Source organism: Homo sapiens, chromosome 1 (assembly GCF_000001405.40).
Source record: "Homo sapiens chromosome 1, GRCh38.p14 Primary Assembly".
In the NCBI taxonomy this organism is placed as follows: Eukaryota; Metazoa; Chordata; class Mammalia; order Primates; family Hominidae; genus Homo; species Homo sapiens.
The window spans coordinates 79,390,049-79,404,589 of NC_000001.11; the positions used below are offsets into that span (position 1 = coordinate 79,390,049).

A 14,541-nucleotide genomic window follows, 5' to 3' on the forward strand; every position below is an offset into this window, starting at 1 on the left:
TTGATAAATTATTTCTAGGTTTTTATTCTTTTAGGTGCTATTGTAAATGAAAGTGCTTTCTTAATTTTCTTTATGAATTAGTCATTGCTGGTGAGGAGAGACTAGTCATTATTGCATGCTGAACTTGTACTCTAAAACTTTGCTCAATTGATTTCATAGTTCTAGCAGCTTACTTGTGAATTATTTATAATTTTCTATATATAAGACATATATAAGGCCATATCACATGTGAATATAAATAGTTTTATTCTAGTTTATTTGCCTTTTATTGCTTTTTCTTATTCAGTTGCTCTGGCAAGAACTTCCAGTACAGCGTTGATGAGCAGTGGTAAAAGTGAGTATCCTTGTCTTGCTAAACTGTGGATTATTAGGACATATTATTAACCTAGGAAAATTTTTAAAGTTTTCGTAAGTAAGGACTGCGAGTATATATATGTGTGTGTGCATGTGTGTGTGTTTGTCTATAGTAAGCTAGCTGTCACAAATGACAATCCTCAAGCACTCTGTGGCTTTCTGTAATAAAATGTGTCTTGTTTTGTTTTATTTCTGTTTTTTTTTTTCCTATAATGTTATAGGATGGAGAGGTTGATTGACCCTCTTTCAGCCTTAATCTCTGCCAACTTCGGCTTCAAAGGCTACAGAGGCAGGGGAAAAGAAAACTAGAAAATTTTGAGAGATGTTTTTACAGGTTATGACTGGATGATGTTGCATCAGTTTCATCCACAGAACTGTCACATAGCCTCAATCCACCTGGAAGAGAGGCTGAAAAATGTAACTGCACTATGGATAATAATCACGGTATTGTAAACATGTAACATTTTTTCCTGCCACAATACATATTAATACTATTCAGGTCCACACAATCACACAGATGTATTTTGCTGGCATACATACTGTTTATACTCTGCATGTTTTTTTTCTGCATTAATCTCTGGAAGGCAGCTTCTTTTCCTGTTAACCCTTCCCCAGTGAATATATTCTCACTCTAACCACAACAGACTACTCATTTTTCTCAACATGAAGTTCTGTCACACATTTTACATAATCGTTTTTGCCATAAAAATTCCCTTTTTAAACTATTAGGTTCAGATGTACATGTGCAGGTTTGTTATAGGGGTAGACTCATGGGGGGTGGTTATATAGGTAAACTCGTGTCATAGGGGTTTGTTGTACAGATTATTTCATCACCCAGGTATTAAGCCTGGTACCCAGTAGTTATTTTCCTGATCTTCTCCCTCTTCCCATCCTCCACCCTCCAGTAGGTCCCAGGGTCTGTTGTTTCTTTGTGCCCATGTGTTCTCATCAAAAATGCCCTTTCTGGCCGGGCGCGGTGGTTCACGCCTGTAATCCCAGCACTTTGGGAGGCCGAGGTGGGCAGATCACGAGGTCAGGAGATGGAGACCATCTTGGCTAACACAGTGAAACCCCATCTCTACTAAAAAAATACAAAAAATTAGCTGGGCGTGGTGGTGGGCGCCTGTAGTCCCAGCTACTTGGGAGGCTGAAGCAGGAGAATGGCGTGAACCCAGGAGGCAGAGCTTGCAGTGAGCCGAGATCACGCCACTGCACTTCAGCCTGGGAGACAGAGCGAGACTCTGTCTCAAAAAAAAAAAAAAAAAAAAAAAAAATGCCCTTTCTTTCATCTTCACTTGCAAATATCCTATTTATCATTCAAAACTTAACTCTCATATCACATTTTCTGTACAATTTGCCTAGACAACATAAATCACTCCCTTACATCTTCAGAGCACTTACACAACCATGAATAATATGTACAACATTTACTGGGCACTTACCATGTGACAGGTACAATGCTGTATGTTTTACAGGCTCATCTGTGTAAATCCTCAAAATAACTACATAGAATAAGTAAAATTATAATTATTTTCTCCAGTGTGGAAACTGAGATTTAGAGAGATAAGGTAATTTATTTAAGGTAAAACCTGTCCAAAGTCCATGACCTTAACAATTATTCAACATGGACTCATATTGTTCTGTCATCGCCTTACACTTTTTTTTTGCTTTGTTTAAACTAGGAGTGTAGTCATGAGTTGCTGGAGGGAATAGCTACGTGATCCATTTTGTGTCCCCAGATCACATTACAGGAATACCACTGCTTTTTCCTCACTACTAGAGATTAATTGCCAGCCTATTATTTCTGTGACATATATTACTAACCTTGATCTCTTTGGAAGAAAGTGTTACAAAATCAGCAACAGCTCACATTTTATGATATCTATAAAAAATTAAGGGCTCTGAAGAAAAATATGGGCAACATGTTCTTGTTCCTACATAGATTATCTTAATGAATTATTCCCCTATTCAGTCAAGCAGAGACTGGTCTAGCAACATATACTCAAATTCCTTGTCAGTGGCTATTTATCTAGGAAATACAAGCTAATTTAGGCATTGCCAAACAAATATAATTAGAAAGAGAACTCTTTCAAAGACAGGGACAAATTATGTTTGAAATTTTAATGTTTTGCATTATCTGCACCACTGCCTTCTCCATTGTAATGACTTATTGAGATCTAGTTTTACAGAGAATAACTAATCCTTATCATCAAAAGTGAACTGTGTCAGAGAAGCAGTGGTCATGTCAACCTGCCACCACCAATTAGAACTTATTTGTTTTAGTGGATTCTTTTTCCAACTATTATTCTACGTAATAGCAAATCATATTTCTCAAACATAAAACTTACATTCAGTGGCCTCATAGGTACATGCAAGTATTAATTAAAAATCTTTGGAATTATGTCTCTCAACTTTGATTTAGCGATTCTGTCCTAAATCAGTTACATCTCATTAAAACAACAGAATAGCAAGTATCCAAGTTTCTCTCATAATTCAGACGTTCTGTTTTATATGTCAGTAGTTCTTAAAGGCCTATTTGAAGATCAGCTGTTACAGAATCCCTAGACAACAGTCATACTCACACATACACCACACATGCACACACACACACATACGAATATATATGTAGTACATGTAATTTGTATAAAACTACATATACACATATATACACAGATATACACATATATACATGTGTATGCATATCAAACATGTATATACTGAATTCTGAGTTTGAGGTGGGCTTTAAGAATTTCTTTAAAAATTATGTGTTGAAATTCATAAACACAACTTAAAAATAATTAGTTCAAAGATTTATAGTAAAAAGCAAATGTTCTCTGATCCATACCTCAGAAGAAAGTATCTAGTTCTCTGTCTTTTTTCTCCTTTTTTTGTTTTTAAGACAGAGTCTTGCTCTGTCACCCAGGCTGGAATGCAGTGGCACAACCTTGGTTCAGCACAATCTCAGCTCACTGCAACCACCTCCCAGGTTTGAGCAATTCTCTTGCCTCAGCCTCCCGTGTAACTAGGATTACAGGCACCTGTCACCACACCCGGCAAATTTTTGTATGTTTAATAGATACAAGGTTTCACTGTGTTGGCCAGGCTGGTCTCGAACTGGAGACCTCAGGTGATCTGCCGGTCCTGGCCTCCCAATGTGCTGGGATTACAGGCGTGAGCCACTGTGCCTGGTCTAGTTCTCTGCCTTCAAGTTTTAATAAGAGAGCATGATTCCTTGGTCATTTTTAGTAATTTGTTTAATTTTGAATGTGACTAAAAATACTAGATCAAATTGATCTCTGGCCAATTGAATTGCAATGAATAAATCCATCTTGAGCCTTTAAAATATATCAATCTCTATATTTTAGAGAAGCAATCAGATTAATTTATACATGAATTCCTTAGCAGTGTATGCACTCTCATTTCTGAGAAACCTACTCTAATTTTATGTCTTCAAATAGTCATTAAAATTGTTTGGGACTGAATTATATGACATGTTCCATTATAGCTTTGATGGACATGTTAAAGCTTAATGATTAATACTATGATTAATGCATGGGTGGTGCTATTTACACTGATGTCATATGTCACCATATACACATTAATTAATAAAGTAATTTTGAGCAAATTTTTAATGAGATGTTGTAGTTTGATATATAGTTATCATTCAAAAAACATAGCCCGATTGAAGATGAAGAACAAAGTTGGATGACTGATATTACCTGACTTTAAGACTGACTGACTATAAAGCTACCATAATCAAGACAGTGTGCTATTGGTGAAAGAATAAACACAGATTAATGTAACAGGACAGAGAGCCCAGAAGTAGAACCACATCAATTTTGTTAACATATTTTTGACAAGAGAGCAAAATGTCCAGTTGATCCAGCACCATTTATTAAAAATATGGGTCTTTTTAATAAATGGTGCTGGAAGAGCTGTACATTCATAAGTAAAAAAAATGAATCCAAACATAGACCTTACACCTTTCACGCAAATTAACTCAAAATGAGTCACAGATCTGAAGGTAAAACACAATACTATATAAAACTTCCAAAAGATAATGTAGAGGAAAATCCTGGGTTTGGCAATGACTTTTCAGATACAACACCAAAGGCACAAACCATGAAAGAAATAATTGATAAACTGGATTTTATTAGAATTAAAATTGTTTGCTCTGTGAAAGACACTGTAAAGAAAGAGAAAAGACTAGGCACGGACTGGTAGGAAATATTTGCAACGGATGTATCTGATAAAGGACTGTTAACCAAAATATAAAAAGAACACTTAAAACTCAACAATACAAATATGAACAATTCAATTGAAAAATGGGCAAAAGATCTGGACATCTTATCACAGAAGATATACAGATGTAAATAAGTATATAAAAAGATGTTACATATCATATGCTTTTCAAGGAAATGTAAAATAAAACAAATTAAATACAAATAAGAAACTTGACTGCATATTACTAAGTGACAGGAGCCAGTCTGAAAAGACTAAATACTTTATCATTCCAACTATTTGACATTATGGAAAAGGCAAAACTATGGAAACAGTAAAAATATCTATGGTTATTAAAGTTTAGCAGGGAGGAATGAATAGGTGGAGCACAGATGATTTTTAGAGCACTGAAACTCTGACAATATAATTGTGACTAAAAGTCATTATACATTTGTTCAAACCCATAGAATGTACAACATCAAGAATAAGCACTAATGTAAACTATAGACTTTGGTGATAATGATGTGTCAATGTAGACTCATCAATTGTAGCAAATGTACTACTTTGGTGGGGGATGTTAAGAATATGGGAGGCTGTGCATGTGCATATGGGAACTCTCTGTACTTTCGTCTTAATTTTGCTATGAACCTAAAACTTCTGTACAAATTTAAGTGCATTAACACAACAACAAAAATCCATAGTCCATTTATCAGTAATTTTTTGTTAATATCACAAATCATGAAGTATTTCAGAATGCTACTAATTTGACCATATGAATTTTATATTAAAATGTTAAGGAAGCATCTAATATGTAGGAGATATATATGTGTGTGTGTGTGTGTGTGTACCTATATACACACATGCAAAAAAATCTTAATATAATAGCTGATTGTATTCAACTGTATTTTCCAATAGGGTGAAATAAATTTTAAAAAAGAAAACCAATTATGAGTGCAAAATATATTTCAGTAACTATTACAAAATATCAAAATGTCATCTGATCCATATAGTCAGCATTTATATAATGGCCAATGGCTGGAGTAGATGAAATGCATAAGTCAGGGAAAAGGGAAACAGATTGATAGACCTTTAAAAATTATATTGTTATCACATATGCTTGCAACAATTATGTAATTCTCTGTGGCTATATTATAGTTTTGTAGTGTTCTTAAAAAATAACCTGAAATATCAGTTTCATTAAAATTACTTTTTTCTTTCTTAATGCATTTATTCATTTCCTTATTTATTTACCAGAACATGTGATACATATATGCACTTAATAAAACTAGTGATTTGCACCTGAACAGATGCAATACGTAGCTCAGAACAGGTAAATAAAATAATTTTAAATAGTGCTTAAAACAGGACAAAACAGATTTGTAGATTTCTTCTGTGCTAGAAAATACGGGTTCCTATATTAACTTTTGTGGGGAAATCATATTAGTCCTTTGAATTTACACTCAAGTTGTTTTTTTCTGCTGGTCAGTAGAGGGAGAAGTCCACCAGAGAACTTTTTTTATTGACAGATAATATGTTTATAAACTAGATGAAGATGAAAAAATGACAAAAAAAATCTAAAAGCAGTGCCTAGACTTGGTTCAATATAAAGTTTAGCAAACTTGTGAAAAGTTGGAATGGAAATTTTAAAAAGCAGATTAAAGAAAGATTTTAGTAAGAAATTGATATAATTTTCTATATGTTTTTTATTACATGCTAGTAACACACTATTTTAGATCACTTTTCAAAATATCTAGATTCAATAGAAAAATCTATTTCTTAAGTTTTGAGAACTGTTAAACTTAATATGCTATTGCTGTTAAAAACTGCTTTTATTTTATCTTCCTTGTCCTCCTTTTTTAGGAAATCCTTTATGGGGAAAGAAGAATCCTTTCCTCATAGATTTGGTTAGAAACAAAATTTTTCCGTATGAATTTTTCCTTTTTTACTTTGTTGTACAGAATGTGAGGAACAATCTTTGTCTACATAACAACTGAATATGGTTTAGAGTTAGACAAACTGAACTATAATGCAATAAATTTACATTGAATACCCATTTACTGAATGTCAATAATTTTCTTCAGTGCCAGAAATAAGAGTAGCACTAAAAGATATAATCAATAAAAGAGACAGCCACTCTTTTCAAGATAGTCATATTGCAACATAAAACAGCAGGTAATTCAGATTACTAAAATGGCCTGTAAAGTCAGTCCATTAAGTAAAGTAATATTATTGAGACAATAAAAACTTATGTTACCATGGTCTTTCTATTCTTTTTTTTCTAGATAAAGTTGTTCTATTACGGCAAATCTCTAGAATGTTGGAGCTTGTATTCATATGTTCTCAAACTGCTACAAAGAAATACCTAAGACTGGGTAATATATAAAGAAAAGAGGTTTAATTGGCTCAAGGTTATACAGGCTGTACAGGAAACATAATTCTGGCATCTGCTGGGCCTCTGGGGAGGCCTCAGGAAACTTAAAATCATGGTGGAAGATGAAGGGGAAGCCAGCATGTCACGTAGCTGGAGCAGCAAGACAGAGGGGGAGGTGCCACACACTTTTAAACAACCAGATCTCATGAGAACTCACTATCAGGAAAACAGCAGCAGTGGAGAAATCCACCCCCCATGATCCAATTGCTTCCCACTAGGCTCCACCTCCAATGTTGGGAATTACAATTTGACTGAGGTTTGAACAGGGACACAGATCCCAACCATATTATAACTTATGTTTAAGTTAATGTGCAATGTTTTCTAGTTGTTACAAAACCATAGATTTTGAAAAGAAGATAAATATATTTCCTGATTTTCTTTTTCAATGTAAAATTAACAAGGTTAAGATTGATATATACTTATTTTCTAAGTGGATGGGGGTATTTATGCTTGTACATGAATATGTACATACACAACTCAACATACTGTTTATCCAGTTCTAAATTATTTTATTCATTTTTAATATAGGAGGGCTATTAGGGGAGGTGGAAATGGCCAAGTAAGAAAACAATGACATATAAAGACATGAGATAAGCGGTAAAAAATAAGCATGCTCATATATATATATATATATATATATTTTTTTTTTTTAGATGTAGTCTCTCTCTGTCACCAGGCTGGAGTGCGGTGGTGTGATTTCGGCTCACTGCAACCCCAGACTCCCTGGTTCAAGCGATTCTCCTTCCTCAGCATCCCGAGTAGCTGAGATTACAGGCACGTGCCACTATGCCCAGCTAATTTTTGTATTTTTAGTAGAGACAGGATTTCACCATGCTGGCCAGGATGGTCTCGATCTTCTCCTCACTTCGTGATCTGCCCGCCTCAGCCTCCCAAAGTGCTGCGATTACAGGTGTGAGCCACCACTCCTGGTCAAGCATGCTCATTTTTAAGTAAACAAAGATGACATAAGTGAATGTTCTTTCTAATCTAGGCCACCTCTGGATTTACAACTAAATAGAAAAGGAAAGACGGGATGATTAGATGGTTGCGAACTAGGTATTGGAAGAACAAATAAGGAGTTTATTTTCATAAGATGGATATGAGGTTTATCCCTTTCTTTCAGAGTTTAAACCCATGGCAAAATAAATATGTATATTAATAGTTTATAAAGAGAAAACATATTGTGTATCTTAGGTTGTATTTTCTAGAAACTGAGACTAAAATAGGAATTTAGATTCCTAAATTTATTGAAATAATGCTCTTTAAGGAAAATCTGGGCATGAATGAGGGGAAAAAAAATGAGGAAGAGGAAAGAGCTGACCAGAATACAATTAGGTAAATTGTGTCCTTAGCCTTATCCTGGGAGTATTATGGGGAGTGAATTGCATTGTATAGGAATTCTGCCTTGGAGCCAGGGGGATGTAGACTTTCAGACCTGTGGAGAGGAGTTGACCCCGTCAGTCCAGGGCAAGGCTTCAGAAAAGGTTGTATGTGCACTCAACAGGGGTTGAGAGTTTCAGCCAGTAAAGGGGATTCAAGTGGGGCATACACCAAGATGGCTCCATTATGTTAAACAAACATACAAAATAATAGGGGTGGAAGAGTCTAATTTCAGCTGGGAGATTTGTCAATGTCTTTATGACATGTGGCTCTGTCACATGTCACATGTCCCTACCTAACTAGAGCTTGCAATGGTGGTTCTCCTATGTCATTATTCTCCAGAATTCCTTGTGGGAAATGTCAGAATTCCTTTAGCAGTGATTTTTAAGCTGTTTCCAGTAAAATAAATTCAAATAACTCACTTTCGGTTTTTACAGGCATATTACCAGTGAAGGTTGCAGGTTATCTCAAAGAAATATGAAACATGAAACCAGGATATTTTATGGTCCAAACCTTTATAGTTTCTGTCATTTTTTACAACTGCACTTTTATGCAGCTTTGAGTTTACGTGTGGTGTGTTTTGAGGGGATGCATTTTTCTATTTTGTATTTCTGAAGCTAGTGTTTGAAAGATCATATTTAGGAGCGTCTGTTTTTTTCTTCTATTTACATTGTGGTTTTGTGATTTAATGACAATAGAAGGAGTTATAGTGTGTTGGGGGTTTATAAAATTCATATGGTTAAGAGCGGTAAGTATGTGTGCATTGGAGAAGTCACAATCCACCTATCAATTACACCCAGGGGCTAAAGTAGATGTGGAAGTTGAATCAACCTGAGTCTGGAATGTGTTCATACTCTGCTCAGTTGCAGAGTATGAATCTTTCAGACCGTAATACAATTTTATTTCCAGTCTTATAATCCTATGCTTGCATTAAACCTAGGCTTCTTAGAGGACGGTTGTGGTGGCTCACATCTGTAATCCCAACACTTTAGGATGGCTGAGGTAGGCAGATCACTCGAGCCCAGGAGTTTGAGACCAGCCTAAGCAACCTGGTGAAACCAAGTATCTACTAAAAATAAAAAATAATAATAATGGTGTGGTGGCGCATGCCTGTAGTCCCAGCTACTCAAGAGGCTCATGTGGGAAGATTGCTTGAGCCTGGGAAGCAGACATTGCGCTGAGATCATGCTACTGCATTCCAGCCTGGGTGACAGAGCAAAATTCCATGTCTGAATAAATAAATAAATAAACAAATAAATAGAGGCTTATTTAATGTCCACACTCATTCTCGTAACATGCATTAAAAATTTAAAAACAATCATAGGCAAAATTCATATTTCTAGTCTACTGAGGAAAAAGTAAGCCATTCAACTATTTGGAAATTTATTAAATTTTAACTGACCAACACTGTCCTCAGAATAGCTTATTTTATTAATGATGTTATCAGTTTTGGGAAGGATTATGTCTTAATTTTTCAAACATATGCTATGGAATGTTGGAAGTGATCTTCGGGGAATTGTGTGAAATATTTTTTGCCTAAAAGAGGGAAATTAATCTCTAGACATAGAAATTATACTTTTTTATTACATAGAAGAATGTTTGCCATGAAGATCATAAATGAGATTTTTAGGGGCAGTGATCTCCCATTATCACACTGAGTCTTGTTACTTCTCACTGTCTTATAGCTTTCCTAGCACTCCTCAGAAGTATGATGAAAGGGAGGTTTCAGATATAAGAGAGGAGACCTAATTGCTTTAGCAAACCAGTCTGAATAGGTGGTCTTTATATAGGGAAAAAGAAAGTGATTGAATGGGTATCATAGAGGTTGATTTGGAAAGAGGTAGACTAGTGTAGAGACAAACATTTCAGTAAGTTTCAGGACTCAGAATGGTCAATTGTGAAAAATTATAGAAATATAAGTGAGATCAAGGGACCTGGGACTCCCACCTTGTCTTCTCTGAACCTCAAATTTAAGCTCTAGCTTGAAGATTCCTTTCTGAAAACTTGGAGCCTCCTGTAGTGGTCTAATACAGATCAAAGAACATCACTGCATCCAATTTTAAAGGCAGCATGGTCTTAATACAAAGACTGGGAGTCAAAAATTAGAGTACAGCCTCATCTTGCATCTTCTGCAAAATCATCAAATGTTATCTTGTATACACGAAAGACCAGACTCATCATTTAGCATGGGGATAAAATGATATGCTTCAGAACATGACCGATTCACATTCTAGTTTACCACTTAATGGTGGTCTAATACAGATCAAATTGCTATGTTAATTTGGCCAAGTTCTTAATTTTTCTAAATTTTAATTTCTAAATAATCAATTTTCCTCAAATTTGGAATGAGAAGCTTTGCTAAACTTGATTAAAACAAATATTTAATGTTTAAATTTCTATGTTGAATATAATAATTATAATATAATCATATTTCTGTATATGGGCATGAAGAGTAGTCTTCTTTGACATGCTACCAATACTTACTAAATAACTCATTTTTTACTGAAAGGCAATGTTATATTTGTATTACATTATATAATTTGTGTAACATTGTTATATTTGTATATTTTCTTATGTACAGAAATTTTTATTTCTGTATGTTCTTTAATACAGATACAACTTTGTTCCTTTGACAATACCATATAATTTTTATTATATTGAGCTTATATTAAGTTTTGCTATCTGGTAAGGCAAATATCTCTGTACAGTCTTTCTTACAATATTCCTATATTTTTTCACAGACATTTTTGTTTCACCTGAAATTTTAAATTAATTAAAATCAATTTTATGGAGGTTCCAAAATATCCCTCATTTGAATGATAATTGGATTATATAGTAACAGCATTGGATCTTTTCCCCTAAGCTCCCGACTCAAGTATAACCGGCTATATTTTCATCTGGATATTTCAAATACACAGCCCACATTTAACATGCCCAACACTGAGTTTTTGCTGCAACCCTTCCTTTCTCAGTTAATGGTAATATCCTATGTGTACACGAGCAAAAAATCTTGATCTCATCCTTAATTTCACTCTTTCCTTCACACCAAACAGCCAGTATCAGGGCTTTAGCTTTCATACATATCCAGGATATGATCACATCTCACAAAATCTGGCTACCACCTGGCCTGTGCCACCTTTATTTCTCACGGGGACCACTGCAGTAGCCTCACAACTGTTCTTCCTGTTCTGCCTTGGCTCTCCTTAGTATGGTGAATTGGGCAACAAGAGTTTTCCTGTCAAAAACTCAGAGCATGTTTCTGTCTGCTTAAGGCCCTCCAGTGACTTTCTATCCTACTCAGAGTGAAAAAAAATACTTACAATGATATGAGCTGGTTTTCCCTCACTACCTTACCCTTTGCTTACTCCACTTCAGCTGTATTAGTGTCTTACATATTCTCAACTCAGAGACATTGTACTTTCTTCCTCTGCCTGGGAGGGTCTTTAATCAGATGCCACATGGCTTGCTGTCCTATCCCCTTTAGGTCTGCATTCAAATGTCATGTTCTCACTGAAGCCTTTTCTGACTACGCTGTGAGAAACTTCTATTTCTACAACAGTTTCAGTTTGCTTTTACTGCTTTATTTTTCTTCATAGCATTTTACTCTGTTTAGCATATAATGTGTTTATTTTCTGCATCCCACTTCTATCATTGCATTCTCAATATACAAAGTAACAAAAATTAATATTCATTGAATTAATGAATGATAACACACACACACATACAAGAAATGACATTTACATGATACTGAGTTTTGCCATGCAGGAATACAACATGTTTTTCCCTTTACTTAGGATCTATTTCATGCCCTTATGCATTTAAAGCTCTCTCTAAAGGGACTCTACCCTTCTACTGTATAGTTCACTCCAATATTTTTTATAGTTTCAATGTAATTTAAATGGACTATTTTCAGTTTTAAGTAGCTATATCTATTCTAGAAAAGCCTATTAATATGTATTATTGATCTTGTATCTAGCCATTATACCAAATTATTTTATTAATTCTATTAGTTTTTTACCTGATCAGATGCAAGATCATGGAATTATAGCATCTCTGCTCAATAGTCTTTAGTTTTTTGTGTTTTATTTTATATATATGTATTTTTATTATACTTTAAGTTCTAGGGTACATGTGCACAACATGCAGTTTTGTTACATATATATACATGTGCCGTGTTGGTGTGCTGTACCCATTAACTCATCATTTACATTAGGTATATCTCCTAATGCTTTCCCTCCCCCCTCCCCCCGCCCCACAACAGGCCCCGGTGTATGATGTTCCCCTTCCTGTGTCCAAGTGTTTTCATTGTTCAATAGTCTTTAGTTTTTATGTCATAGCTTCCTAATGCTTCAGATGAAAATTGTAGCACTAATCTGATTCACGTATTGTAATATGGAACCTCTTTCCCCTCATCTTAGGGGATAAGGTTTTATCTTTTAATGTGGAATTTAGAAATTTGTGTTAATTCTGGCTGAAAGTTTGTGAGTCTTTTCCACATGCAATTTCAAACTTCAGCTCAGAAGGTTTTTTTTTCTTTTATTGTGCAGTTATTAGTTTTCCACTCGTTTCTCTTTTTTCTCCTTTTGGCATTCCTATTGTAAGTCCGTAGATATACCTTTCTTACCTTTTAGCTTTTCCTTCAAGACTTACATTCCTTTTTATTTATTTATTTTTTGAGACAGGGTCTCACTCTGTTGCCCAGGCTGGAGTGCAGAGGTGCAATCATGATCACAGGTCACTCTAAAACCTCATACTCCTGGGCTCAAGTGGCTCTTCAACGTCAGCCTGCTGAGGAATGAGGACTACAGGCAAGTGTCACTATGCCTGGCTAATTAACTTTTTTTTTCTTTTGTAGAGACGAAGGTCTCACTATGTTTCCCAGGCTAGTCTCAAACCCCTGGCCTCAAGTGATCCTCCTACCTGGGCCTCCCAAAGTGCTGGGATTACATGCATGAGTCATTGTGCTCAGCTGCATTCCTTTTTGTCAGTGTTGTAAAATTATTTTTTATTAGTGTTATAAAATTTTATTTTCTACTTGATCTTCAAGATTAAAAGATCTCACCTTGACAGTGATCCTTCTAATTTCCAATTTCTGTCTTGAGTTTTTACACTCAAAAATTATATAATATGTGTTGTTGAATACATTTTGTGCTCTAATTGCTTCTCCATGTGTATTTTCATTTCTACTACTTAAAATTAAACTTGATTTTCCCTCAGTCTTTTAAAATAATATATTATTTTACCTTTTAATGTTTCATCAGCAACCATATAGTTCTATAAAACAGCAGGTAAATTTTGGAATAAAGGCATAGAAATTTCTGTTCTTGCGATTTAGTTGATAACAAACTGGAGAAAATTACCCTTCTGCTGAAGAATGGGAAAGAATCCTGATGTGGCCTGATTTTCTTGTGTGTAAATCAAAGCCCTTTCCCAACCGGGAAACTGAGATGTAGCTTAACCCTGAAGTTATCCTGCAGGTCAGGGGTGGTTCTCCCTTTATCATAAACAGCAAACAGGCTGTTCTTTTTTTTTTCTAGGGATTTCACTGTTTTCTGCTATCTGGATTTTCCCAAAGATCCGCTAAATCCTAAACTTCATCTTGGTCTGAAGAAGGGCAAGTCCTCTCTCCAGCTCTTCATTTGCTGACTCTCACTGATGCAAGAAGAATGAAGTCTCTTACCTGCCTTCTCCTAGGACATCCTGGGAGAAACTGTGACTGCTGGTGTGTTCTCAAAACTCACCAACATGATTCTCCTTGTGGCTATATGACTCTAGAAAGGGAATTTAAATAAAATGATAACAATTAACAGATACTTTTATGTAAACAACCGGTAGTGACCACTATACTAGTTGGTTTGTATTTACCAAATTCCATGTCTGAGGCCAAGAATTTATCTCTAAATCCTCTGGGATAAAAATCCAGCATCTCATCTTTTTTTCTGCCAGCTGTAAAAACATTGCAGGAAGGTACTGAGTACTTTTTGTTGTTGTTTTCTCCTTTCTTTGAATCTTTGGCTTTGACAAGCATGGAATGAAAATCATATAGAGCATGGAGCTTATAGCAAAGGAGAATGTAGAGGCAAAGAGAATAAAAATGCTGGGATAATTTCTTGAAAAATTACTTAGAGGAAGATGTCTTATTTTTGTGTCATATA

At 35.1% G+C, this 14,541-nt stretch overlaps 1 long non-coding RNA gene across 2 annotated transcripts in view; it reads left to right on the top strand.

Moving 5' to 3' along the window:
- The window catches only part of LOC105378810 (uncharacterized), a 136,420-nt gene extending 122,221 nt beyond the window's left edge, over positions 1–14,199 (top strand). For both annotated transcript variants that reach the window (XR_001738113.2, XR_001738112.2), the window contains exons 3-4: positions 287–334; positions 13,924–14,199. This is a non-coding gene — a long non-coding RNA (uncharacterized LOC105378810). The remainder of the gene's footprint in view (positions 1–286; positions 335–13,923) is intronic.
- Positions 14,200–14,541: the final 342 nt, after the last annotated feature.